This window comes from Homo sapiens, chromosome 17 (assembly GCF_000001405.40).
Source record: "Homo sapiens chromosome 17, GRCh38.p14 Primary Assembly".
Taxonomy (NCBI): domain Eukaryota; kingdom Metazoa; phylum Chordata; class Mammalia; order Primates; family Hominidae; genus Homo; species Homo sapiens.
Window position 1 is genome coordinate 17,522,115 of NC_000017.11, and position 27,660 is coordinate 17,549,774.

At 52.7% G+C, this 27,660-nt stretch overlaps 1 protein-coding gene across 7 annotated transcripts in view, besides 2 other annotated features; it reads right to left on the minus strand.

The window, feature by feature from the left end:
- The window catches only part of PEMT (phosphatidylethanolamine N-methyltransferase), an 86,580-nt gene that overhangs the window by 16,552 nt on the left and 42,368 nt on the right, over nt 1–27,660 (minus strand). For all 7 annotated transcript variants that reach the window (XM_024450532.2, NM_001267551.2, NM_148172.3 and 4 more), the window contains exon 3: nt 166–281. In XM_024450532.2, the coding sequence (XP_024306300.1) occupies nt 166–281 (116 nt within the window). The remainder of the gene's footprint in view (nt 1–165; nt 282–27,660) is intronic.
- Nucleotides 13,758–18,759: an enhancer, noted in NCBI's record as "VISTA enhancer hs1917". NCBI's record gives its function as "enhancer in: other[5/6]" and the evidence as "EXISTENCE:transgenic organism evidence [ECO:0001131][PMID:17130149]".
- Nucleotides 23,251–23,750: an enhancer, noted in NCBI's record as "H3K4me1 hESC enhancer chr17:17448679-17449178 (GRCh37/hg19 assembly coordinates)". NCBI's record gives its function as "activates a minimal SCP1, AML or CMV promoter by ChIP-STARR-seq in naive H9 embryonic stem cells {active_cell/tissue: H9 hESC(naive)}" and the evidence as "EXISTENCE:reporter gene assay evidence [ECO:0000049][PMID:30033119]".

A 27,660-nucleotide genomic window follows, 5' to 3' on the forward strand; every position in this document is an offset into this window, starting at 1 on the left:
ACGGCTGGGAGGGGTAGGGTGGCTTGCTGTGGCAGGTGGCTTTGAGAGCTAACCCCTGAGTGCTCAGACACAAGGCTCCCGCGTGGTGAGGGATGAGGTACCACCAGTAGCGGCCCTCCCGCTAGCCCAGGGGTTGTGGCTCCCCAGTGAGAGAGCTGTGCTTACCAGTGCGAGCGCAGGAAGTTCAGGAGCAGGATGGTGACGCTTAGAGAGTAGCAGGCCAGGTAGGGGGATCCGAAGGCCCTGCTCAGCTTGCGGGTCTTGTGTTCCCATCGTGCAACCTAAACCGTGAGCAGAGAACAAGAACGAGATATTTCCTGGGGAGACTCCAGGGTGGGGGTGGGGAGCACATGCCTCTCTCTGCTTCCCAGGCTCCAAAGCCCCCATTTCCAAAGAAGAAGAATTACACGGGAGCAACAACCACATGCACCCCAGCTGCACATTATCTGCCCTAGAGCAAGTTCCACAGGGATTTTCACACTTGCTCAGTTCATCTGGACGGACAACAAGGTCCTTCTGGAAACAACTCTTCAACCAGACACAGCCATGAACCCACCAAGAGGCAGAAAGAGACGTCTGGTGGAGAAGATCTGTCCCTGGGGAGACACATGGGGTCTGACCTCAGGCCCTACCTGGGAGCTGCTGAGTGCATCCCACAGACTCTAAAAGGGCCCCAGCAGAACTGCCAGAGGAGCCCATGGCTGCAGGAGCACGCGGCCTTCAGAGCACAGGCCCAAATTTCCGCTGGGGGCCTCACAAAGTGTCCATCACAGGCGCAAAGCAAAGCAAAGAAAACCCCTCACCCTCCTCCCTCTGCCCAAGTGCTCTTCTCAAGGCACAGACTTTCAAACAGTGACTTTTAGCCTCAGAATCCTTTTACTTTGTTTTTTTTCAAACTAATCACATCTGGAATCTCAACATCTGGCCACCAACGGTGGAGAGAAGGGAGCTCTTCCTGCCTGCCTGCTGTTTCCACAGTCCTGAGCTGGTTATCGCCCGGGCCTGGCCCAGCACACTGAGGAAGGAACGGAGAGGAGGGGAGGGGGCAAGGAGGATGCAAAAAGACAAGCATGCAGCCTGGGGTCAGGGGCTGGGCTCTAGGTATGTGAGCAAGTTGTCTGTGGGCCCAGAGTAGGCGCCTGTGTGTGCACAGGAAGAGCCTCAGAGGCCTGCTCCCAGCCACCTACCTCCACCCCAGCCCCAGCGATGACTGCTGCCTGCTCCACTTCCCAAGTGGACCTGCCTTTCCCAGCAGTTGCGGCAGGAGAGTGATTAGCGATGATTTCCTCAAGGCCACTGACTCCCAGAAGGTGGCTCCCTAGTGAGTCCTCTGGCCCCTGTCCTCAGAGCTCCTTGGCAGTGGCAGGCTAGGGGGCAGCAGATGGCGGGGGGCAGGGTATGCCAAAGTTTACAGGAAGGAGAAGTGAAGGAGGTAGCTCCCGGGCCTTCCCCTCAACCAGCTGTTGGCACTGCAGCCAATTCTCCCAGAAGGTAAGCAGGCCCTAGTCCAGGTCTCAGCAGGTGGCCGCTGCTGACTCTGTGGGAAGCTCAAAAGGCGGAAGGAATAAGCGCTGCAGGGGTGAGGAGGGGGCTGCGGTGACCTTGCTGGGAATGTGTGGGGTGGGGTGGGGGCAGAAGAGGAGCAGTCTGCAGAGAGCACCGCGGGGGCCCAGGACCACAGCCTGCTTTGTTTTGTTTTGTTCCAATTCTGAGATAAAATTCAAAGTAGTTTTTAGCTATGCAACCATCACCACGGTCTAAGTCCAGAACATTTCATCACCCCAAGTAGAAACCCCGTCCTCCCCATCCCCCATCTGCCGGCCCCTGGCAACCACTCATCGCTTTCCGTTGCTATGGATTCACCTATTCTGGACGTTTCATATAAACTGAATCACACACTACATGGTCTTTTGTGTCTGGCTGCTTTGACTTTATGTAACGTTCTCAAGGTTCGTCTGTGCCACAGTGCGTAAATGCACTTCATTCCCTCTTACGGCTGAATACGACTCCAGTATATAAAGATTTTGTCCACCGGTTCAGCAGCTGATGGACACTTAGGTTGCGTTAGCAGCACTGTCCACGGTGACCAAGGCCAAAGCCAAGCAACATACGGGCGCTTGCTAGGAACAATCGTGCCCAAGTGTTTTGTGGATGTGTGTTTTCAGTGCTCTCAGGTATACACCTAGGAGTGGAATTGCTGGGTCACATGGTAAATCTATTTATTGAAGAGCTGTGAAACTGTTTGCCACAGTGGCTGCCCCATTTTCCAGCCCCACCAGCAATGCATGAAGATTCTAGTTTCTCCACATCCTCCCCAACACCAGTTATTTTCCCTTTTCAAAAATTATAGCCTTCAGGGGTGGGGGACACTGGGCATGGTGGCTTACACCTCTAATCCCAGCACTTCGGGAGGCTGAGGTGAGAGAATTGCTTGAGCTTAGGAGCTCAAGACCAGCCTGGGAGACATAGTGAGACCCTGTCTCTCCAAAAAAAAAAAAAAATAATAAAAAAAATTAAGTTAGCCAGAAGATTGCCTGAGCCTAGAAGGTTGAGGATGCAGTAAGCCAAGATGGCACACCACTGTACCCCAGCCTGAAGACAGAGCAAGACCCTGTCTCAAAAACAAAGAAAAGAAAAAAAATTCTGTAGCCATCCTAGTGGGTGTCAGGTGGCTTTGGTCTGCATTTCCCTAATGATAAAGAAATACCTTTCCAGCTGGGCGTGGTGGCTCACGCCTGTAATCCCAGCACTTTGGGAGGCCGAGGCAGGTGGATCATGAGGTCAAGAGATCCAGACCATCCTGGCTAACACGGTGAAACCCTGTCTCTATTAAAAATACAAAAATTAGCCGGGAGTGGTGGTGTGCATCTGTAGTTCAGCTACTCGGGAGGCTGAGGCAGAAGAATTGCTTGAACCTAGGAGGCGGAGGTTGCAGTGAGCCGAGATCGCGCCACTGCACTCCAGCCTGGCAACAGAGCAAGACTCCATCTCAAAAAACAAAAACAAAAACAACAAAAACCTTTCCTTCAAGGGTTCTCTCTGCCATCCTCAGCCTCCCATACAGCCCCCCTCCCCCAACAGACCCAGGCCACACCTGTCCCTTAGCCTCGGAAAGAGCTGATGCTAAATGAGCTTTCAGAACAATCTAACGACAACAGAAAAGCATCAAGCAAGACTAACCCATGTGGGAAAGAAAAAGAGGAAACCACGCCTTGCCTCCCAGCGAACTGGTATTCGATGGGGCTGTTATTCCGAGGCAATCGATAAACCAGCAGCCAGCAGGACTCCCAGAACTTCCTTCCCTGCCTGGCAGCACCACCGTGTCCTCACTGGGAGCCCAGCTGCTCGTTTCATCCAACAATGAGCGGGTGCCGGACGCAGTCGCCTCCCAGGGCCATGCATGTGAGCCCTTAGTAGGCAGCGGCGTGGCCCAGCACTCTGCTCTCACTGCTCCTGGTTTTTGCCTGTCTTCTAGATTTCCAGAATCCTAGAGTGGGGATTCATTTGCCCAACACTCCGTGACCCTGGCTCAAATTTCCTCTCCCCGGCACTGCCAGGACCCTCCAGGTAAATGTAAGCTTCAGATAAACAACAACCTGGCCAGGCACAGTGGCTCACGTCTGTAATCCCAGCACTTTGGGAGGCCGAGGTGGGAGGATCATGAGGTCAGGAGTTCGAGACCAGCCAGGCCAACATGGTGAAACCTCATCTCTATTAAAAATACAAAAATTTAGCTGGGCACAGTGGTGTGCACCTGTAGTCCCAGCTACTCAGGAGGCTGAGGCAGGGGAACCGCTTGAACCCGGGAGGCAGAGGTTGCAGTGAGCTGAGATCGTGCCACTGCACTCCAGCCTGGGTGACAGAGCGAAACTCTGTATCAAACAACAAACAAACAAACAAACAATGTTTTGGTGCAACCTGTCCCATGGGACTGCTTTTAATCCTAAAACAGTCTGTGCTGTTGACCTGGAACCCTAATGCAACCGGGCCCTGGGTGTGTGTTTGCTCCATTCAGTAGCCCAGCCTCTCCCACACCCTGGCAAGGAGTTCCCAGCTGAGCTCTGGAACACACAGGTCTCCTCCCCAAATGCCGGCTCCTTTTCTTTTTTTGCAAATCTCACCCACAGCCTCTACCCTAGGGCAGAAGAGACAGGCCCAAGGCAAGTGGAGTGGGAGGAAAACAGGAATGGGGTCGAGACCCAGGGACACCATCCTGGCCTTGACATTCGCCAAAAGCCGACAGCACTTCATAGGCAAATCACTCAGCTGCCCGCTACCTAAACTGAGTCAGCTGCAAAGTACGAAAAACAGGACGGACAGTACCCCCCACCCCGATCCCCGGCCAGCGTGGAAGGAGGGGTAGAGCAGGTGAGGGATGAAAGGCTCCTAGCCCTGGCATGTGGCCCAGGACATGTGAGAGCGCCCGTCTCTCCCCCTATCCGTGGCTCAGAGCAGGGACTGTGTCTGATTTCCTTCTGGGTCCCACTCAGATGGGAACGGCCTCTGCCCATGCACATGCCCGTGGTGCCCGTCTGGCCTGAGGTGGCAGCTCCGGCCTCTGTCTCCACGCCAGGACCCATGCTTCTTCCCTGCCCTTTCCAGGGTGCTATTCTTGGTGTCCTTGGACTCAGAGGTTGTAACTGGCAGCCCAAGATGTGTTCTGGTCAAACTCATAGCATGTTTAAAATATTTGGATCAACAATTAAACACTCAGCGTTTTTCACATAAAAGCCAAGGCTTCTCAAATCTTGGCAATGAACACAGCCTCCCACCCCACAAGGCCTACACCAGCCCAGCTATGCAGTAAGGGCCCAAGAAGCACGACCCCCTTCTGGGAACAAGACCCTTTCCTAGAGACTTCCTATTGGTCTCTCAAATTTCCTACGCATCCTTGAAGTGAGGCCGCAGAAAGTCGAGTTTTTTATTTTTGTTTATGTTTTTAGACGGAGTTTCGCTCTTGTTGCCCAGCCTGGAGTGCAACGGCGCAATCTCGGCTCACCACAACCTCCGCCTCCCGGGTTCAGGTGATTCTCCTGCCTCAGCCTCCCGAGTAGCTGGGATTACACGCATGCGCCACCATGCCCGGCTAATTTTGTATTTTTAGTAGAGACGGGATTTCTCCATGTTGGTTAGGCTGGTCTCAAACTCCCGACCTCAGGTGATCCGCCCGCCTCGGCCTCTCAAAGTGCTGGGATTACAGGAGTGAGCCACTGTGCCCGGTGAGGGTAGAATTTTTAAATCCCTCTTTGAAGTGAGACACGGCTCCTTCGCACTCACTGAAGGACTGATGGGCAAGTGTCCACCCCAGTGCCCAGCAGGGCAGCTCGTGGCTCCCAGCGCCAGGTTCTGGGCTCAAACACCGGCTCCTCTACTTGCAGCTTGGAGCTTGGGCAGGTTATTTCCTTTCTCTCTGCCTGTTTCCTGATCTGTAAAATGGAGCTAATAATACTCTCGACTGCGTCACAGAGCTGCTGTGCGGATTAAGCGAATTCCTGCCCATGAAATGCCTGGAACGATACTACACCAGGCACATGGGCGCATGGCGGTGCTGCTGTTTGTTTTGTTTTGGAATGGGCAAAAGGGTGAGAGTCAAGAGGCTAAGTCCAAGCTATTGGCCTGACAGGCCCCGGCAAAGCTGATGAAGAAAGTCTGTTGTGAAGCAGTGTCCCCAGGGAGAGGACAGGCAGACAGACCTGTGCCACACTGGGCTCGCCGGCTGCCAGGCCTCTCCCCTCTGCGGCCAGCCCTTGATGGACTCTCAGAAGCTCCTCCTCTCTCACCTTGTCCTTCCCTGGCTAAATCTGCCTAATACCCAGCTGCAGTGGTAGGTCCCATCTGGATTCCACAGCCAGGACCCCCCCACCACCTGGCCCAGGGCTCCCAGCCTAGGCACCTGGGGGTCTAGAATGCCCCAAGCAAAGGGCTAGTGCTTCGCATTGGTAATGAATGCTGGGGAGGAGCTGGTGTTTCCACGAGCTTTGCCAAGGGCCCACGGAACCACTGAAGGAGCCCATCCCTTTTGTTTAGAGGACGTGGGCCGTGCGCCAGCACAGAGGGGCTCATGAGCTCCAAGCTTCCTTCTGCCTTCCTGCTTTTGCCTCCCGAACCGCCCCCATCTCGCTTCTACAGCTGGACCCACCCCTCTGCCTGCCTGACTGGCCCCCTTTCCAGCCCCAGGAGCCGCAGCCAGTGCCTTCTCACTCCTGAACTCCTGCCTTGCGGCTCCGGCAAGATGTGGCTGTGGCCTAACAGTTCACACTGTGTCCACCTCTGCCTGCACTATGCTGAATCCCACGTGGGGCTACCACCCGAGGAGGCACTCAACAAGCACGGGTCTGTGTGGAATGATGGATACATCAGCGCTCCGAGGCCTTCTCTCCTCTCCTCTTTCCCTCGCCTTGCAGGGAGCCAGGAAGGGAGGGGGCCACTAGCTGGGCTCCATGAAGAGAGGAGGGGCCCTAAGGCCCCCAGGGTACCTGTAGGTGACATACAAATGTCTGAGTGAGACGTCCCCGGGGCAGCAGGGAGTCTGCCCATGACTCCTGTCTCTCCCTCATCCCACCCTGGCCCCCCAGAACCTATGAGAGGTCAGGGACCTCAGAGGCGGTGGAGCCCAGCCCTCCATTGGCCTTCTGAACAGAAACTCAGGGCTCCACTGGCATCAGGAGGTGGGATTCAGGATCCCCCAGTCCCACTGGAGTTGACAAGGATGGCTGAGGCTGCCAAGGCTACTGGGCATCCCCTAGGCCGGCCCCGATGGCCCAGGCCCAGCAGCATGAGGACAGCCCATCGAGGCATTTCCTCCCCAGCCCCAGATCAAGGTCACTGTGATACCGTCACATAAGCTTCATGTGCACGCCAAGTGCTGTCCACACCGCGCATCCCAGCGGGGCCTGGACCCCTCTCCCTTCTCACCAGGGCTCATAGTGGATGGGGTGTGTTTGTGGGAGCTCAGCAGAGCCCAGCACAGGACCCAGTCACTGCCAGCTAGGCAGGCCCTGGGCCAGCAAGCAAGTGCATATATGAACAGGCGGCTCTCCGAGGTCGCACCGTGTCAGCCCCCTCTGCTCTGCACACGCTAGGCCCAGCCGGCCCGGTGACCTGGATCACACCTGCCCTTCCCAACACCCAGTTCCACCTGTCCTGCCAGGTGTGCACAGCCCTGGCTCCTTTCAGATCTGCCCCAATCTGGCCAGTGCTGCTGAACCTGGGCCAGGGCCTCTCCAGGACATAGGACCAGTGGCAGCTCAGGGCAGCATCCAAAGCGTCCCACAGCACATGGCTCAACTGCCCTTCCACGTGACACAGCCTGCTCGAGGGCTCCAACAGTCATTGTCTCCAACAGATCAACAGACCTGCCCACTCCACCAGCTAGTCCAGTGAATCAATCCCTGTCCAAGGTGCACCCAAGCTCTCGCCCTGCAGTGAGCACACTAGTGCCAGAGAGCAGGTCCCAGCACCAGCTGCCCACTTCCAGACAACCTGCACCCGAGGCCCCAGCAAAGCAACATGACCCAGCTTCACACCCGAGGGGCCATGGCACAGCGGGGGACACTCGCCTCCCCCAGCCTCAGTGCTCATGCTCAACCTCTTCACTCCGTTTTGCTCCCCGCCTCCTCCATTATGACGGCCCACAGAGCACAGGAGAAAGAGCAATAGGAACATGGGCTCTGAGTTCAAATTCTAGCTCCAGCACTACCTATAGCATCGTATAAAGATGGAACCCACCCCAGTGTCCACTGGCAGGGGGAGGGGCTGAATGAACTGCGCTACAGCCCCACCCTGGAGAAGGGCTCCTTGTAGAAAGGAGGAAGATTTCTATCTATTGCTATGGTGTAAGCTCCAGGATATATTCATTAAGTAAAAAAGCAAGTGCGGAAGGTGCACCCATCCTGTTGTATAAGGACATGAAGAGGGGCTGGGGGAAGATACACACACAGACTTGCTTACATTTTCAAAAAGCAACAGGGGAAGGACAAACCCAAAACTGATCAAAATTATTACCTACAGGTGAGGGAGGAGACATGCCAGACATTTACAAATGTCCTTTGTTGACTATGGAACCATGTAAATGTTTTGCATAATTAAGAGTAAGAACAGGGCAGGCACAGTGGCTCACACCTGTAATCCCAGCACTTTAGGTGGCCGAGGCGGGCGGATCACCTGAGGTCAGGAGTTCAAGACCAGCTTGACCAACATGGTGAAACCCCGTCTCTACGAAAATACAAAAATTAGCCGGGCATGATGGCGGGTGCCTTTAATCCCAGCTACTTGGGAAGCTGAGGTGGGAGAATCCCTTGAACCCCGGAGGCGGAGGTTGCAGTGAGCTGAGATGGCACCATTGCACTCCAGCCTGGGTGACAGAGAGACTCCGTCTCCAAAAAAAAAGAGAGAGAACAAAGGAACTACTAGAAATCCAAAAACTCAATCAATAAACCTGGTAAAAACACAGATAAGAAGTTTCAAGTGATTTTGAAATACAGTATTTTGACTAATCCTCCCTCCTGCCGCACAGCCTGAGGACAAAAGAACCAGAAAGATTCTAGACTGCATCGAGTAAATCTATTGTTGGTGATAAAATATTTAATAATACAGATATTATTATTATTTTGACTATATACACATTAATTATGTTACTGTATTTAGGATCCAAGCTTCCTATAAAAGTGGTACAAAAATGAAATTGAAAGGTTGAACAAAAACTTTTGAAGTGGAAATATTGGTATGAATTCATGATTTATTTCTATTTCTAAAAAATTCATTTTTCCATTACAAAAAATTGGCCGGGCGTAACGGCAGGTGCCTGCAATCCCAGCTACTCGGGAGGCTGAGGCAGGAGAATTGCTTGAACCCAGGAGGCGGAGGTTGCAGTGAGCCGAGATGGTGCCACTGCATTCCAGCCTGGGCGACAGAGTGAGACTCCGTCTCAAAAAAAAAAAAAAAAAAATCATTTTTCCTAGAGAGGCCTGGAACAGTGAGCACCCTAGCATTCAAACTGTGGTCTCCAAATATCATTTTCCACTAAAAATAACCAGAGCTCCTTGGTTAAAAGGCCGATTCCAGTCTACTCTGGGAACAGAAGATGTTGAACCTGAGACTGAAAGCTATGAAAGACGAGGTGGAAACGCCAGAAGAACACTAAGAAACACTTGAAGGGTCCCCAGCTGGCTAAAGGCAGACATGCTGAGGTTGCTAGGACACTAACGCATTATTCTGAAATGGTTTTTTTTTTCTTTTTTATGAGACATGGTCTCAGTCTGTCTCAGTAGGATTTGTCTTTATTCACAGACAACAATAATCATCTATGTCAAAAATCAGATGGAAACCACAAATAGATGGATATGAAAATACAAAAAACTTAGAATACTCAAGACAACTCTGAAATAAAAGGACAAAGTGGAACTAACACAACCAGATTTTGAGATGTCTGACAAAGTGCTAAGGCAATTCAGTGGAGAAAGGACAGCCTTTCCACAGATGCCACTGGAACAATTGGCTATCATATGCAAAAAAAAAAAAAAAAAAAAAAAAAGAACTTCAATCCATAACTCAGAAAAAATATAAAAATGAATTCAAGATGGACTATAAATAGAAATATAAACCTAAATCTATATATAAATATATCAATCTAAATATATAAAGCCTTCTAAAACTTTTAGAAGAAAATAGACTAGAGAGAATCTTTATGATCTTGGATTATATGATGATTTCTTAGGCACAATATGAAAAGCATGATTCATAAAAGAAAACGTGATAACTTGAAATTCACCAAACTTTTAAAGCTTCTTCTCTTCAAAAGACATTCTTGATAGAATGAAAGGATCAGCCATAGACTGGCAGAAAATATTGGCAAAGCACATACTTCTTGAGGGACTTATATCAAAAATATATACAGAACTCTTAGAACTTGATAATAAGAAAACAAAAAACTCAATTTTTTTCAATGGGCAGAAAAACCCAAAGCTAACATCATACTTAATGGTGAAAGACTGGATGCCTTCCCCCTAAACTCAGCAACAAGACAATGAAAGGACGTTCACTCTTACCACTGCAATTCAACTTTGTACTAGAGGTTTTAGCCAGGGCAATTGGACAAGAAAATCAAATAAAGGCATTCAGATTGAAAAGAAATATGTAAAACTAACTCTATCCACAGATGACATAATCTCATACATTAAAAATCCTAAGGAATCCACTAAAAAAATTTCAAGCTAATAAATGAGTTTAGCAAGGCCACAAGATACGATTGTATTTCTACACATTTGCAATAAAAAGTCTGAAAGCAGGAATCAAAAAAACAATTCCATTTACTATAGCAATTAAAGGAGTAAAATACTTAAGAATAAATATAACAAAAGTACAAAACTTACTCTCTGAAAATGAAACATTGTTCAAAGAAACAAAAGATCTAAATAAATGGACAGACATCCCATGTTCATGGATTACAGACTGGATAAGATGGCAATACTCTCCAAACTGATCTAGAGATTCAATGCAGTCACAATCAGAATCTCAGCTGGCTTCTTTGTAAAACTGACAAGCTGATTCTAACATCCATATGGATATTTAAGGGTCACAAAATATCCAAAACAATCTTTTTTTAAAAAAAGACAAAAAACAAAAAACAAAAAGGCCAGGCTCAGTGGCTCATGCCTATAATCCCAGCACTTTGGGAGGCCAAGGCAGGCATATCACCTGAGACCAGGAGTTCAAGACCAGCCTGGCCAACATGGCGAAACCTGTCTCTACTGAAAATACAAAAATTAGCTGGGAGTGGTGGTGGGCATACGTAATCCCAGCTACTCGTAAGGCTGAGGCAGGAGAATCGCTTGAACTCGGGAGGCAGAGGTTGCAGTGAGCCGAGATCGTGCTATCGCACTCCAGCCTGGGTGACAGAGTGAGGCTCCATCTCAAAAAAACACAAAAAAACAAAAAACCAAAGTTGGAGGACTCACTTCCTGATTTCAAACTTACCACAATGCAACAGTAATCAAGACAGTGTGGCACTGACATAGGGATAGACATAGACCAATGGAATAGCATACAGAGCCCAGAAATAAACTTCCACATACATGGCAAGTGATTTCCAACAAGGCTGCCAAAACAAATGAATGTGGAAAGAATAGCCTTTTCAACAAATAGCACAAGGACAACAGGATATTCACATGCAAAAGAATGAAGGTGGACTCTCAGCCTCACATCATATACAAAAACTAACTCGAAATGGATCAAAGACCTAAATGTAAGAGCTAAAACTATAAAACTCTTAGAAGAAAACATAGGTATAAATCTTCATGACCCTGGATTTAGCAATGGTTTCTCAGATGCAACACCAAAAGCACAAGCAATGAAAGAAAAATAAACTGGCTTTATCAAATATTTAGACTTTTATACTTCAAATGATTCTATCATGAAAATACAAAGACAACCCACAGAATGGGTGAACATATTTGTAAATTATTTATCTGATAAAGGATTGTATCTAGAATACATAAAGAATTCTTACAAAATGGCTAAAAGTAAAGAGGGTTGGAGAGAAGCAGAGCAATTAGAATGCTCACTCCTTGCTAGAATGCAAAATGGCACAATCACTTCTGAAGGCAGTTCGGCAGTGTCTCTCTTTTTTTTTTTTTTGAGACAGAGTCTTGCTCTGTTGCCCAGGCTGGAGTGCAGTGGTGCGATCTCGGCTCACTGCAACCTCCGTCTCCCAAGTTCTAGCAATTCTCCTGCCTCAGCCTCCCAAGTAGCTGGGATTACAGGTGCATGCCACGACACCCGGCTAATTTTTGTATTTTTAGTAGAGATAGGGGTTTCAACATGTTGGCTAGGCTGGTCTTGAACTCCTGACCTCAGGTGATCCACTCACCTCGGCCTCGCAAGGGATTACAGACATGAGCCACTGCATCCAGCCCAGTTTGGCAGTCTCTTGAAGTGTTATGCACACACCTACCACCACATGACCCAGCCATTCCACTCCTAGTATTTACTTAAGAAAGATGAAAGCAGCTATCCAGGCAGACTTGAACATGGATGTTTACAGTAGCTTTACTTGTAATAGTCAAAACCTGGAGACAATCCAAATGTCCATCAACCAGTGAATAAGTAAACAAACTACGGTGAATGGATACAATGGAATACTACTCAGCACTAAAAAGGAACTACCAGTCCATGCAAGAGCATCCATCACCCACAAAATAACTATGCTGAGTGAAAGAAGCCAGACAAACATAGAGTATACTGTATGATTCCATTTTCATAAAATTCCTGAAAATGCAAACTAATGTCCAGTGACAGAAAGCAGATCAGCAGCAGCCTGGGTTAGAAAGGGCAAGAGGGGCTGGGGGGATCTCAAAGGTGGGAATGGATATGTTCACAGTCTTAACCTGAGTACGTGCCTCCTGGCTGTAGAAACACATCAAAACTCAAATTGTAGGCAGGGCACAGCGGCTCTTGCCTGTAATCCCAACACTCTGGGACTTTGGGAGGCCAAGGCAGGAGGATTGCTTGAACCCAGGAGTTTGAGACAAGATTGGGCCAGATGGTGAGACCCCCATCTCTACAAAAATAAAAACATTAGCCAGTGCAGTGGCACATGCCTGTAGCCCCAGCTACTCTGGAAGCTGAGGTGGGAGGATCACTTGAGCCCAGGAGTTCAATGCTGCAGCACGAATGCACTCCAGCCTGGGCGACAGAGCAAGACCCCATCTCTAAAAAAGGCAACTCAAATTGTATGCTTCATATAGGTGCACTTTGTTGTAAGTTGGTTATTCCTCTATAAGGCTATTTTATTTTATTTTATTTTATTTTATTTTATTTTATTTTTTGAGATGGAGTCTCGCTCTGTCACCCAGGCTGGCACAGTCTCAGCTCACTACAACCTCTGCCTCCCGGATTCAAGCAATTCTCCTGCCTCAGCCTCCAGAGTAGCTGCGATTACAGGTGTGCGCCCCTATGCCTGGTTAATTTTTGTATTTTTAGTAGAGAGGGGTTTCACCATGTTGGCCAGGCTGGTCTCAAACTTCTGACCTCAGGTGATTCACTAGCCTTGGCTTCTCAAAGTGCTGGGATTACAGGCTGAACCACCACGTCTGGCCTGTAAGGCTATTTTAAAATGAAATTATTAATTTTGCTGAATGTTTAATGTATTATATTATTAAAAGTCCTTACTTATGGCCAGGCATAGTGGCTCACATCTGTAATTCCAGCACTTTGGGAGGCCGAGGCGGGTGGATCACGAGGTTGGGAGATCAAGACCATCCTGGCCAACGTGGCGAAACCCCGTCTCTACTAAAAATACAAAAATTGGCCAAGCATGGTGGCATGTGCCTGTAATCCTAGCTACTCAGGAGGCTGAGGCAGGAGAATGGCTTGAACCCAGGAGACGAGGTTACAGTGAGCTGAGATCGCGCCACTGCACTCCAGCCTGGGCGACAGACTGAGACTCCGTCTCAAGAAAAAAAAAAAAAAAGTCCTTACTTGTTAGAGATACATTCTGCATTTCATATGCATGTGAGATATTTACTGATGAAATTTGATGTCTGGATTTGCTTTAAAACACTCTAGTGAAAGGAAGCAGACAGGAGTGAAGGGGAAGAGGCGGAGAGGGGGCAGAAGACAGATGAAACAAGAATGACATATTGTGAGAGAATTCTTGAAGCTGGGCATTGGGTACGGTGGTGCAGGGGTCATTAAACGGTTCTAGTTTAGTGTATGTTGCATATTTTTGAAAATAAAAAGTTAGAAGGCAAATCCAGGCTTCACTGTTTCCCAGCTGTGTGAGCTCAGGCAGGTCCCCAACTTCCCTAAGGGTGACAGTCCCCATCGGTGAGCAGGGGATGCCCCTGCCCTCCCTTGGGTTCTGTGAGGGCCTTGGTCCAGTGTCTGGCAACGACTCCCTTATTCTGCCACTGTCTCCCCAAGGGCCTACAATCTCCTTAACTGTGGCATGCAGGCCCTGTGCCACTGCACTGACTGTGGCATGCAGGCTCTGATGACACCCACAGCACAGTGACGTCAGCCGACACTGGCACAGGGCCTGCTGCACACCAGGCGCTGGGGTGAGTGCAGCCATGTATCCTATTCAATCTGCATGCCAGCCCCACGGGGGACGTCCGATAGTGTGCCTCCCTTGCAGGACTTGCCAAGGACACACAGTGAGTAAATGGATTGTAACTCAGGTCTGGCTTCAGTTATGACCCCTGCCACATGCTGTTCCTGAACATTCTGGGGCCTCCCAACTCTGATGGGGGAATCTGTGCCAATCTGACTTCACGGGACCATCTCCCCTCACTCAGACCCCAGCCTCTGTCCTTGGCTTCACCCAACAAGCTCAGGCCAAGTTCAAAGGCCTCCTCTGTCTGCCTCCGGGTCCGAAGCACAACCAGGCAGTCCCCAACCTTCCTCCTGCACACGGGAGCCCCAGGGTTGCTTGTTACCTCTATCAAGAACTCAGCAGCCCCGCAAGGAACAGACCAGCAAAGGTGACCTCATGGGAGTGTCCATGCCCTGGCTGGCTCCTGTGGGTTTGAGCAGAGGGAAATGGTACAGAGCTGTCCCTTCCTCACCCAGTGGGAAAGTCAATGGTGTTCCTCTCATGAGGGCCTGCTACACCTGCCCGTCCACCAGGTGCGACTCATGCTCTGTGCTCCCTGCATCCACTGAAATGGTCCATTGGCCCCGTGGGACCTGGTATGGCCGGGAGCAGGATGAGGCTGGCCTGGCAGTGTCAGCCCCTACTCAGGGCGGCTCTGGTTCATGGTGCTGTCGGGTCTGGCCCAGTCTGAGTGGAAGGCAAGAGGCTCACAGCCCGAAACCCTTCACCAGTGCCAGCACCCAGCCCGGGAAGTCAGGGAGTGCGGGGTCTCCCTCAGCAGGTAAGACGGCCTCAGCTGCCCTTACAGGCCGGGGGGCACGGGAGGGACAGGGTGTCTGCTACGTGCTCCACTGACGGGTCCCACTGGAGATTTCAGGCTGGACGATGACAATACATTTTGCTCCTTTTCCCTGTCTGTCTGAGGGTCTCTGAGCCCTGCTTACACAGATGGCTCTGTCCTGAATGTGGGGCTGCTGCTGCCCTGGAAAGAAGGAGGGAGCCAGCATGCTCAGAGTCCAGCTCGGAGGTGGGAGCCCAGAGCTCCTCGAATCCTGCCCTGCTCCTGTGAGGAGGACCCACCTGCTCCTGGGCCTGGCCCCCTTTGCCTTCCCCTTGCCCTGCTACTAAGAACCCCCCACCGGCCAGAGGGCAGATGCTGTCCCTGCAGGTTCCCAACCCCTGCCCTCCATGGGTGACTGTGGTCCAGCGACAGCAGAGGCCAGCTCCAGCCCAACACACCGGGCTCCCCCAAGCCTAGCCCAGCCCAGCCCAGGACCCTGAGCCATCCCCGTGCCCAGCAGCCTGCAGGGGCCTTCCCCATGCTGGCCCAGGCCTCAGGCGAGATCCCCTGTGTGTGTGCCACTCAGCTGCTGATTAGTCATGCTCTGCACGTGGCCACCTCTTCCATCCCTGATACTTGTCTTCTGGGAGAAAGCAGGAGGAGAGATAAGATAGAGTGGGAGAAAGAGAAGGAAAGGCCCGGACCACTCTTTGCTCCTGGAAGCTCTGGCCCTGAGACTGGGAGAGACAGACAAGCCTTCCAGCAGTATGACCTGTGCCTAGATTTCCCGGGGAGGGAGATTTGAGACATGGACAGTGCCTGCTGCAGGGCCCAGCATGGCGTAGAAGGCAGGTGTCTTTCCTTCCCGCCACTCAGCCTTCCAGGAGGATGTTTGTTGACTTGGAAGACAGTCACACAGTTGTGACTTGGGTGGGACCTCATCCTCACGTCCAACCTGCCACCTCCAGGGAAGATCAGGGCAGAAATCACCAGGGAGTGGTCAGCTGGCAAACGCCCTCCTCAGGAAGGGACAGCTGCTGCCGGGACCCATGGCATGCCCGTCCTTGCTGTCTGAGGTGGTCTCTCCAACGCTGCAACAGGGGGCCAGTCAGGGGCCTGGGTCCCAGCCCTCCCAGCCCTCAGTGACCTGCAGGCCCCACGATGGTAGAGGGAGGGTGCTAAAGAGCTGGGTACCTGAGCCCAACTGGACAGGGAGGCAGGGAGGTCACTCCATCAATACACGCTGAGCGGCTTCTCCAAAGACGATGGCCACCAGCGGCAAAGAGAGCCTCAGGCCAGGACAGAGGCAGTATTGTGCCATTGCTGTCACAGCTCTCACTTAAATAAAATATATATCTAAAAATTTGCCTCAGGCTGGGCAACAAATTGAGACCCTATCTCTACAAACAATTGAAAAATTCTCTGGGCATGGTGGCACATGCCTGTAGTCCCAGCTACTTGAGAGGCTGAGGCAGGAGGATCACTTGAGCCCAGGAATTTGAGGCTGCAGTGAGCTTGGATTACACCATTGCATTCCAGCCTGGGTGGCAGAACAAGACTCTGTCTCCAAAAAAAGAAAAAAAAAATTAATAAATACATTAAAGGGGAAGAGGCAGTTGTTTCATCAGAAGATTCGCTGAGTCATTTAAATAGGGAGGCTTTCTACTGCATTTATGATGTCTGATTTATGCGCAGCTTTTTAAAGTGTCTTTTCTTTTTACATAAAACAAACCCACCTGTACAAAGCAACTGAAAAAGTAGCTTAGGAGTGACTCCAACTATTAACCAAATATAGCACAAAGCGTGATCCGCCTTCTTGGGTCAATATTTACCTGGACTTCAGCCTGCCTCGGAAAGGAAATTTGAAAATATTTGGCGAGTGGCAGAATGGTTGTCTGGCTACACAGGCCGATAAGCAGCTGGGGCTCAGGTTTCCAAGCTGGCCTTTTATGGGCGAGAGACATTATCACCATCATCAACGCCCATGTGCTAGTAGTAGGACCCACTGTCAGCCAGCTTTTTGTTTTGTTTTTGTTTCTTAAAGATTAGTATATTTTAGAAGGGGGGACTTTAAAAATCATTTTTAGGTCAGATTTATGAAGGTAACACATAAAGTAAAATGTACCCTTTTTAATGCACAGGTCTGTGAGTTTTGTTGTTGTTGTTTGATTTTAGTAAAGATGGGGTCTCGCTATGTTGCCCAGGCTGGTCTCCAACTGTTGGTCTTAAGCAATCCTCCTGCCTTGGCCTCCCAAAATGCTGGGGTTACAGCTGTAAGCCACTGTGCCCCAACCAGGTCTATGAGTCTTGACAAATGCATACCACCACCACATCAGGACACAGCACTTCCAGCCAGCTCCAGGCTCCAACCCAGAGCTGGGCCCTTCCCTGTCCCACCCCAGACACTCCTGTCCTGTGTTCCATCCCGTTTCCCTCCTCAAGTGTCACAGAAATGGAATCGCGCAGGCTGTGGCATCCTGCACTTGGTATGATGCCTCTGCGATGCGCCCAGGGTGTCACATGTATCCCCAGCTTGTTCCTTTTTGTGGCTACGCAGGATTCTTTGGTGTGGACGTGCCACAGTCCGTGTGTCCCTGCCCCAGCTGAGGGACTGCTCGTGGGATTTTGCTACTGTGTAACTGTGTATTTTCATTTCTCTGAGGGCCAATGTGCTGTCAGCTAATCACGATCATGGGGCCTGAATCAGCTCACAAGGTCACTGTGCAGGGGAACCATTGCCCTCATTCAGGGGCACAGAGCCCCGGGCACAGCCCTGCAGCTGAGAAGTATCAAGGCATCCGGCCTGTGGGACTCCACCCCTGTATCACCACCCTCTGTCTGCCGCAGCCCCTGTGCCCCACCCATGCACTGGCGCCTGAATCTCTCAGGAGCGTGGGCAGGAGGGGTCCTGGGAGGCTGGTGCAGGAAAGACTGACCACGCAGGTGGCAGGGAGCTCACAGCCTCCACGCAGGAGGCTCGGGAGCAGGAGGGCCCACCCCAGGAGTGCAGGGACAGGGGAGGACAAGGAACAAAGGCTGGGGGCATGGAAGGACAGAGACATCTTCTGGAAAAGACAGAATCTGAGTTGAACCTGGAAGCAACGCCCCAAGGGAAGGGGCCAAAATGGGCAGCAGCCAGCCCTGGCCGTGGGTGGGGATGGGGCAGGGGCGCAGGATGGAGGGTGGGGCCTGGAGGGCTCATGGAGGAAGGAAGAAGAGCCTCAGAGGGGCCTTCCAATCCCAGCTCCAACCCTCCCTCCCCCGACAGAAGACCCCCAACATGGGGCAATGGCCGGGACGAGGAGGGGGCTGCCCCAGGTGGACTCTGCGCTCTATCCCAGTGCCTCCTCTGCGCCTGCTTTGCCCAGAGCACACAGGTGAAAGCACCAACTTCGGGCTGAGCACAGCACACGTGAGGGAGGGTGGCCAGCCAGCATGAGTTCTGGCATTATGTCCCAGGGGGTCAGGGGAACTGAGCCCCAGGAAGACTCCCTAGGCAGGTGGCAGCAGCCACTGTGCAAGGAGAGGAGCCAGTGAGTCAGGAGCACCAGCTGGCCTCCACCAGCCAGACCCCCAGAACCCGCGTCTACTTGAGGACACTGTCAGAAGGAGCCCAACTTCCAGGCAGCTGCAGGATGAGAGGCCCCAGGCAGGCTCCGCCCCTCCCCATGCTGCCCCTCTCCAACAGGGTCCCCGCAGCACAGCCCACTTCTCCAGGCAGGCTCAGGGTTCAGAGGGTCGTGCAGCATGCAGCCTCCTTCTCACCCTCTCCTGCAGTGACCCCCTCGCTCCCCCACCTTGGACAGCACCTGGCACAGTGCCCACTCATCACTGGCGAGTGAATGGGCTCCCGAGTGCTCCCCTGTGAGCACCTCAAGGCATACAACAGGTACTCAGTAAATGTTCGCTGATTATAAATCTGCAGTGGGCAGGGAGTGTCTCCACTGCCTGGTATTTGTCTATTCTCTTCTTGCTTTCTGTGGGCACTGACAGCAGTGACTGCCAGTTTCAGTGCCAGCCCCGTGCTGAGTCCAGCCACCCTGGCCGCTGAGTGCTCGGCTGAGACGGGGACAGAGCCACCACTGGGATTCTGGGGTCACAGATGCATCTGCATGTTTATTCCAACAGACAGGATTGTTGCTGACGTTAGCAGAATTGTGCTCCGCCTGCTGCTATATAGAGCACCCATATGAGGTAGGCGCCAGGCCCAAGACTGGGCATTACAGAAGCACCCCATCCTCCCAGAGCCCTGCAAGGAAGATGTCTCCCTCACGCACGGACAGGTGCGGTGGTGCCTCAAAGTTTCCCGAGTCAGCTGAACCACCTGATCCCGAGCCCCAGCTCTTTCAGCTCCTCCAGCTCTACACATTCCTAAAACCCAGGCTGCCCACCAAACAGGAAGCAGGGAGCATCGTGGACCGTGGCCCGCAGCACCTGTCCCCACTTAGCTCCCAGGAGAGAAGGCTGGCAGGCAGCCCCAAGACCACCGGCCGCAGCAGCAGCGGGGCATGGGCAGGCTCGGACATGGCGGGCCTCATCCCAAGGCGCCAGTTCCCTGGGCCCAGCTCCAGCGAGCCAGAGCCCACACACTGAACTTGAAACATCTGCCCAGACCTGGGACTGCTGCAGGGCCTAAAGCAGCGGTGAGCACAGGTTTGTTGAGGCTTCTGGGGATAAATATTTTGATATCTGTGCTCCAGGAAAGGATTCTGAGCTTCAGAGATGAAGCAACCTGCCCAAGAAGGCTCCTCAGCGACCGGGGCCTGCCCAGGGTGTCTGCAGCCAGCACAGCTGTGGCCTGGGCTGCCAAGGCAGAAACGTTTCCTCATGAGCCCCTTGCCCAGAGAGAAACGGCTGCTACCCCTGGCCCCAAGGCTAAAACGACAGGCCACAGACATGTGAGCCCAACACCCAGGGCTCATCTGCCTGGTACTGGCCCCTGAATATCAGTGCCTGAGCCAGAAGGGCACAGCCCACCTTCCTCTTTTTTCTTTTTTCTTTTTCTTTTTTTGAGATGCAGTCTTGCTCTGTTGCTCAGGCTGGAGTGCAGCAGCATGATCTCTGCTCACTGAAACCTCCACCTACCAGGTTCAAGCAATTCTCCTGCCTCAGCCTCCCAAGTAGCTGGGATTACAGGTGCTCACCACCACACCCAGCTAATTTTTGTATTTTTAGTAGAGACGGGATTTCACCATGTTGGCCAGGCTGGTCTCAAACTCCTGACCTCAGGTGATCTACCCGCCTCAGCCTCCCAAAGAGCTGGGATTACAGGCGTGAGCCACTACGCCTGGCCCACCTTGTTCTTCTTTAAGGCAAACACCGTGCCAAGCAACCTGGTTTGCCTGATTGAGCTCCCGCTCAGTTAATCCAGAAACAGGGGCCTACGTGGCCTCTGGGGACTGGCTTGGGATAGAGGGTGCTTGCTCAGGTCACCCCAGATGAGCCTTCTCCATATCCTCAGCTCACCACGGGCTCCTGGGATTACCTCCCGCCACCTCCAACTACCCTCCTGGCTAACGCTTTCCTCTCAGGCCATGGGGAGAGCAGGCTGAACCATGCCAAGGACACAAACAGATTGAGGGCAGGGCCTTCGTGTTTTGGTGGGATTGTCTTTCATGGAGGAAAAACAGGGGAATGGGTTATGCCCTCCAGTAATGACAGTGACCACAATCCTGGTGTTTCTAGAATCTTTCAGTTTCAGGGCTTTTCCACATGCACAAGTCCATGAGATCCTCGCCTGGGCTCTGTGAAGTAGCCAGGATTATACATGTGATCCCATCTCACAGATGAGCAAACCCAGGTTGAGGGCAGCCTGCAGGGACTGGGCCGCCCCCTCCTTTGCACCGTTCGGCCACCGTTGCAGGAGCAGGGCCCAAGGCTGCAGGGAGTACCCCAGGGGATGGGCAGTGAAGCTGCCGTTCCTGCACACTGCCGGGTCTAGAGGACTCTGAGGCTGGAAGGGGCATGGGGACATCATTCTTCTCCTCTCCAGCTGCCTTCCCCCAGAGCATGGCCTCCTCGCATCAGTTACTTAAATCAGTTACTTAAACCCAGTGTGGTTCCCAGACCAGCAGCACCACCGGGGAAGCATGTCAGAATGCAGACTCTCAGGCCCTGGCCCGGGCCACTCGGCCACATTCTGCATCTGCTTCCGATCCCCAGGACTGTGGAGAAGCCACGTCGTGTCCTACAGAGTCCTGAGGGCCTCGCATGTGCATGTGACCACTGACCGTCCACTGCCAGGGCGTTCTTCCCAAGTGCGACCATGGGGACTCTGCTGAGCACTCCACACTGTCCTTTCCTTCGTCTGCCTTCCTCAGGCATACGGCAGTGAATCCTGCAGAAGTCTCAACAGGCTCAGTACCAGGACCCAGCCCTTCACCACATTCAGTGGCCCTTCCAAGCATGTGGCCCCAGACCAGGAGCTCCTGCGGCACTGGGAAGGTGGCTGCCCTTTGAAGGGGCCACGGAAGGCAGCGCACGCCACCTGGATCCCGGGCCCTCTGCCTGAAGCACAGCTGCAGTGACTTTCATGAAGGCATGAAATGCTCTCACGACAAAGGGCAAAATCCAGCTTGTGCTTTTTTTTTTTAAGATGGAGTTTTGCTCTTGTTACCCCAGGTGGAGGGCAGGGGCACGATCTCGGCTCACTGCAAACTTCGCCTCCCAGGTTCAAGTGATTCTCCTGCCTCAGCCTCCTGAGTAGCTGGGATTATAGGCATGCACCACCACATCCAGCTAATTTTTGTATTTTCAGCAGGGACAGGGTTTCACCATGTTGGCCAGGCTGGTCTTGAACTGCTGACCTCAGGTGACCTGCTTGCCTCAGCCTCCCAGAGTGTTGGGATTACGGGCGTGAGCCACGGCGCCCAGCCAGCTCATGCCTTTTTTGACCCAAAATAGAACCTCTGAGCTTGACCATGCATACAATTTGCTAGATGACTGTCAGTGACTTGCCTCCATGTGGGAGGAGAGAACTCCAAGGCTGAGGTCCCATTTCGAGGCATCTGAGAACACAGCCTTGCTAGACGTCTTAATGCCTCCTATAGGACTGGCAGCTTAGAGGGCAGACGTGGTCGGTGAGGGGGGCACTGGACGGGGGTCAGGAAAGTTGAGCACCTAGTGCATGCAGAACACATCCTGTGGATTATTACAGAATCCTCCTGACAATCCACGAGGAAAGAACTTTATTTTATATAAGGAAACAAGAACATGGAGGCACCCAGACAGTGAGTAACTGGCCCAAAGCCACACAGCTGGGAAGCAGGAAGCCCAGCTTGTGTTTCTTTTTCTTTTCTTTTTTTTTTTTTTAGACGGAGTTTTGCTCTTGTCGCCCAGGCTGGAGTGCAATGGTGTGATCTCGGCTCACTGCAACCTCCACCTCCCGGGTTCAAGCGATTCTCCTGCCTCAGCCTCCCGAGTAGCTGGGATTACAGGTGCCCACCACCACGCCCAGCTAATTTTCGTATTTGTAGTAGAGACAGGGTTTCACCATGTTGGCCAGGCTGGTCTTGAACTCCTGACCTCAGGCATCCCAAAGTGCAGGGATTACAGGCAGGAGCCACCGCATCCGGCCTCCAGCTTGTGTTTCTAACCATGAAGTCCCCCCACTGCCCCGATTCACTGCACAGACCACAGCCTTGGTGTCCTCAAGTGTGACGGGCAGGGGCTGGCACAGGTGCTCATGAACATCTGAACCAGCTCTGGCTTCCTTTAGTCCTCCGAACAGAAAAGACGTTTCAAAATGGAGGCAGAACAGGGCGGCTTTCTCCACTTCCCAACCAGCAGACACGGGTCCAAGAGAATCTTCCCTGCTGAACCAGGACCATCATCCATGTGTGAAATTGGGGGCAGAAAGGCGGGCATTTTAGCCACCAAACTCCAGTTTGGAGACTGACCCCAGCTGCAGCATTCTTACCAAGGGACCTGGACATGTTATTTTGGAAGGAAGGAGAAAGGAGGCGAACAGGCCAGCCGTTCTCTCCAGAGGGAGTCCAAGGTGGGCCCGGGCCCGGGTTAACTTGGACAAGGCACTTCCTGTTCCAAAGGGCCACTCAGCTTCCCGTGCAGGCGGCCACCAAGGAGCTGTCTGGCCTCACATCCCTCAGGGTCCTTGCCGGGCCACACCCTATTTAAAACCTGACCTCTCAGGGCAGTCTAGGAATCATGGCGTGTTGAGCGGGGCAGCCGGGACCTCAGTTGTCCTGTTCTAGAGCATTCTGATGGACCTCACCCGCCCATGCAGGTCACCTGTATAAGGACAAAGGACAAACACACCTTGAAGCCCCTCACCGTCCTGGCGTCCCAGCCCACCTCTCACCCAGGTCTGTCCAGGGTGTGCCCGGAGGTCACATGCCCCATGGTCTCCAGCACGTTGCATGCTCCTCACAGTGTTCCTGCCACCTGGAGGAGCCCATTGCCTGCCTACATTACAGGTGCTGTCAGGCCATGCTGAAGATCCTCCTCTTGTGGCCGCCGTCCCCACAAGTCCCAGCCCCAGGGCCATTCCTATGGGCCCACTGGAGAAGCCACAGCCCATGCCACCAGGCTGGGCTCCTTGTCCTGCATGCTGAGTCTTGGCTTCAACTCCTACACCAGAGACGGCCTCCTCTGCTCTTTCTGCGGGGCCGGGTCCAGCCCATGACTCATTCATTCATGCCATTCCAGAACAAACCCTACTTTTGCCTGCTTCCAAACTTTTGCTCAAAATGTTCTCTTTTGTGATAATGAAGTTGTGCTGAGGTAGGAAATGTCCTCCGTTTTAGAGATGCTATGATGGAGTGCAGAGGGACAGGTCACAGCGTTCGTGACGTCAGCTACCAAGGCAGGATGTACTGGAATCTAAGGGCTGATGTTTGGAGGTTCGTCCTCTCTACTTTTCTGTATGCTTAAAATTTGTCAATTTAAAAAAGTACCGCTCTGCCTGAAAAACCAATTCCTTTCCTTGCCTGTCTCTTCCTGCTAAAATCTCTTTCCTTCTGGAAGGAGGCCACGACTGACCTTCCATCTTCTGTCCCTGGGCCACCTTGCCTGGGCTCACTCCCAGCACAGCATCTGCTGAGCCCTGAAGCCTCTTCTGTACCCATCTTATGTCCTCAAGCAGCCTATAAACTTGCCAGGTGGGGCCGAGCCTCCCCACACCTCCCTGGGGCGATGCACAGACGCTCTGGCTGGATCCAGTGGCCTGGGCTAGAAGGCGGTGTCACCTGAGGCCAATGAAGCCATCACTAACAGGAGAAGAAAGGAGATGATGGCACCTGTGGAGAAGGGCATGTGTGGGCCACGGCATGTCCTGATGCCTGCTGGACACCACTGCCCCTGGGTTTGGCCGGGCTTTGCTCTCCCGTGTCTTGGTGGCTAGCCAGGCAGCCCTGAACCCACCAGGCAGAATCAAATGGCCTGAGCCCCTCCCAGGAGCAGCAGGGCTTTCTCCACCACATTTTCAGAAGCAGGCTTGGTTCAAACTGGTGCCAGGCTGGTGGGGGGTGCAGTGGGCATGATCAGGTTTAAGTGACTCTCATTGTTTCTGACATTTGCTAATAAGGCTGATAAGGCCCCGGGAAGAAAATTACAAGATAACGGGATGGCATCAGCTGGGCTAGGAAGAGTGGCCTGGCCACCTGCCACCCATCCAGCCCCCAGGCCTCTGCTCACAGGCGCCTGCCTTCGTCCGACCCTGGGGAGCCTCCCTGTCCACCCTGGGGCTGGCCTAGCCTATGGCCAAAGAGAGGCTGGGACAAGGTGGGGCATTAGTAGCCCAACAGGGCTTGCAATTTGGAAGCAGGCCAGGAAATCCCAAATAGCTCTCGACCATTGCTGAGTTTAGATGACAACCAAGGCTGCCTCATTATCTTCACAGCTGCAGTCAAAGCAAAGTTGGTTCATTTGCTACGTGCTGACCCTCTCCATTTAAAGGACAGAAAAGAAAGAGGTGGCCGTGGCTGGACCTCTGCATGCACTGGTGACTGCAGGATGAAGCTGCCCATCGTCAGAAGAGCTCCAGGGGGCCTGCGCCCCCGAAGAGCTGGGCTGCCCACTGGTCTCCAGCTCCAGGCGTGCTCTCGAGCCACATGCTCCGCCTGGGGGGCACCCAATGTTCCCTATTAGCAGCTCCGCTGTTACTGCAGGATAATTAATTCAATCAGAAATAATTGAACAGGCAAGGAGCTCCGAGGTGCTATTTCTCACCTGCTGAGGCAGAGAGAAATATTTGCAAACCAGCCCCAACTGCAAGCAAATGCCAGCCATAGTCCTCCCAAAGTGCAGAGCTCCCGACCCCTCTCCACACACAGATCTGTTCTTCAGGTAGCTATGGAGGGCTGCCAAGTGCCAGGCCCTGGGGCACTAGGGCAAGCAGGCGAGGCGTTCAGGGCCTCTGCCCAAGGGGGCCTCCTGTCTGTGCCGCATGGACTCTGTGTGATGATGCCAGAGATGCGCTCGCCAAAGAACAGGGTGCTGGGAGAAAGAATAACCTGGAGCGAGGGCAGTCAGGGAGGTGACCTTCACACTGTGGCGTGCAGGATGAAAAGCAGACACCACACAGAACACAGAAAGAAGGGCCTTCCAGGCAGAGAAGCATTGTGTGCAAAAGTCCCAAGTTCAGCCTGGCTTATCTCCTGCATGGCTCCCCCAGCCCTGCCTGTGTGTCTGGAAAGCCTCCCTCCTCTTCCTCCTCCTCCTCCTCCTCATCCTCCTCGTCCTCCTCCTCCTGTCTGGGGCACAGCCACAGGGCCCTACCCTGTGCATCTCCTTCCTCATGCTCAAGGACAGAACTCCCAGGACCTCCAAGCGCCCGTGAACTGAAAGCAGGTTTATCTCGGACTTGGTATTTAAGTGTAAGGTGTCTGCATGACAGGAGCCAGAACACGCTAGTGAGGGGCATGGAAAATCTAAATCACAACTGAATTCTGTGGGAAATGTGAAGATGGAGAAGCCAGAAGGAAGGAGCTAAAGAGCAAGAAGAAAATTGGAAAACACAGAGAACGTCATCAAATCAGAGCCAGTGCGCAGGCCACCCCAAAGAAATCTGATGGCAGCCACTCTGCTGCACGCACAGCAGCGGGATGTTCTATCCGAACCTCCCCCCACCTCCCGGGATACCCATTAGGTTCCAGCCTCCCTCGAGGGGAAGGAATGACTTCCTTTGGTCCTCAAGAACACTTTGAGGTAGCTATTGTCATGGCGGCAGTCCACAGATGGGAGCTCCAAAGCTGGCCAAGCTGCACACAGCCCTGCTGGCGTCCAGCCTGGCTCTAGGTGAGGCCAAAGCTTGAATGCCCTGGGCTGGGTAGGCTGGGCCAAGCCGTGCTGCCCCTGAGGGCTGACCATCCAGTGGGGAGGGACAGCGTGTATACAACATGCCATTCTAGAATGGTCCCTGGGCTCCTAGGGGTCTTCTGGAGACCAGGGGTCTGGGGGAGGAAGAGGGATTCCAAAGCTCTAGGCTGCACTGGAGATCATGTCACCTGGGCCCTTGAGGGACCCAGAAGCTCCTCGAGGCATCAGAACATCAAGTCTGTGGCTAAATTCATACCAGAGTCTGTGACGGCTTCACGGTGAGCACAGGTCTTTTTTTTTTGAGACGCAGTTTCGCTCTTGTTGCCCAGGCTGGAGTGCAATGGCACGATCTCGGCTCACCGCAACCTCTGCCTCCCAGGTTCAAGCAATTCTCCTGCCTCAGCCTCCTGAGTAGCTGGGATTACAGGCATGCACCACCACGCCTGGCTAAGTTTGCATTTTTAGTAGAGATGGGGTTTCTCCATGTTGAGGCTGGTCTTGAACTCCTGACCTCAGGTGATCCGCCCGCCTCGGCCTCCCAAAGTGCTGGGATTACAGGCGTGAGCCGCCGAGTCCGGCCGAGTACAGGTCTTGAAGGACAGGAGGTAGAGCCTGTCTGGGCAGTGTGTGGAGGGTGGCAAGTGTCCACACTAGGTGGTGTGTGTCCAGAAGGCACAGTGACCAGGCCACATCTCCTCAGCAGGACCCTGACCAGGCTGTGAGACCAACCCTCTGCAGTGACAAGCAGCCATGGAATTCTTTTTTTTTTTGAGACAAGGTAACCCAGATTGGAGTACAGTGGCACAATCACAGCTCACTGCAGCCTTGACCTCCCTGGGCTCAGATGATCCTCCCACCTCAGACTCCCAAATAGCTGGGACTACAGGCATGTGCCACCATGCCCTTTTTAACAAAATTTTTATTTATTTATTTGTTTATTTTTGAGACGGAGTCTCACTCTGTCGCCCAGGCTGGAGTGCAGTGGCACAATCTTGGCTCACTGCAACCTCCGCCTCCCGGGTTCACGTGATTCTTCTGCCTCAGCCTCCTGAGTAGCTGGGACTACAGGCACATGCCACCACACCTGGCTAATTTTTGTATTTTTAGTAGAGATGGGGTTTCACCATATTGGCCAGACTGGTCTCAAACTCCTGACCTCGTGATCCACCCGCCTCAGCCTCCCAAAGTGCTGGGATCACAGGTGTGACTTTTATATTTTTTTGTAGAGATGGGGTCTTGCTATGTTGCCCAGGCTGCTTCCAAACTCCTGTGCCCAAGCAATCCACCTGCCTCACTCAACCTCACAAAATGCTGGGATTACAGTCATGGGCCACTGTGCCCAGCCAACCGTGGCATTTTTTACCTTTTATTTTAGAACACTTTTAGATTTTCAGGAAAGTTGCAAAAACAGCACAGGGCAGGCCTGTGTGTCTCCACTCAGCTCCCTGAGGCTAATACCTCACAAAGCCACAGGCCACTTATGATAACCATAGCTGTGACAATCTGTCCA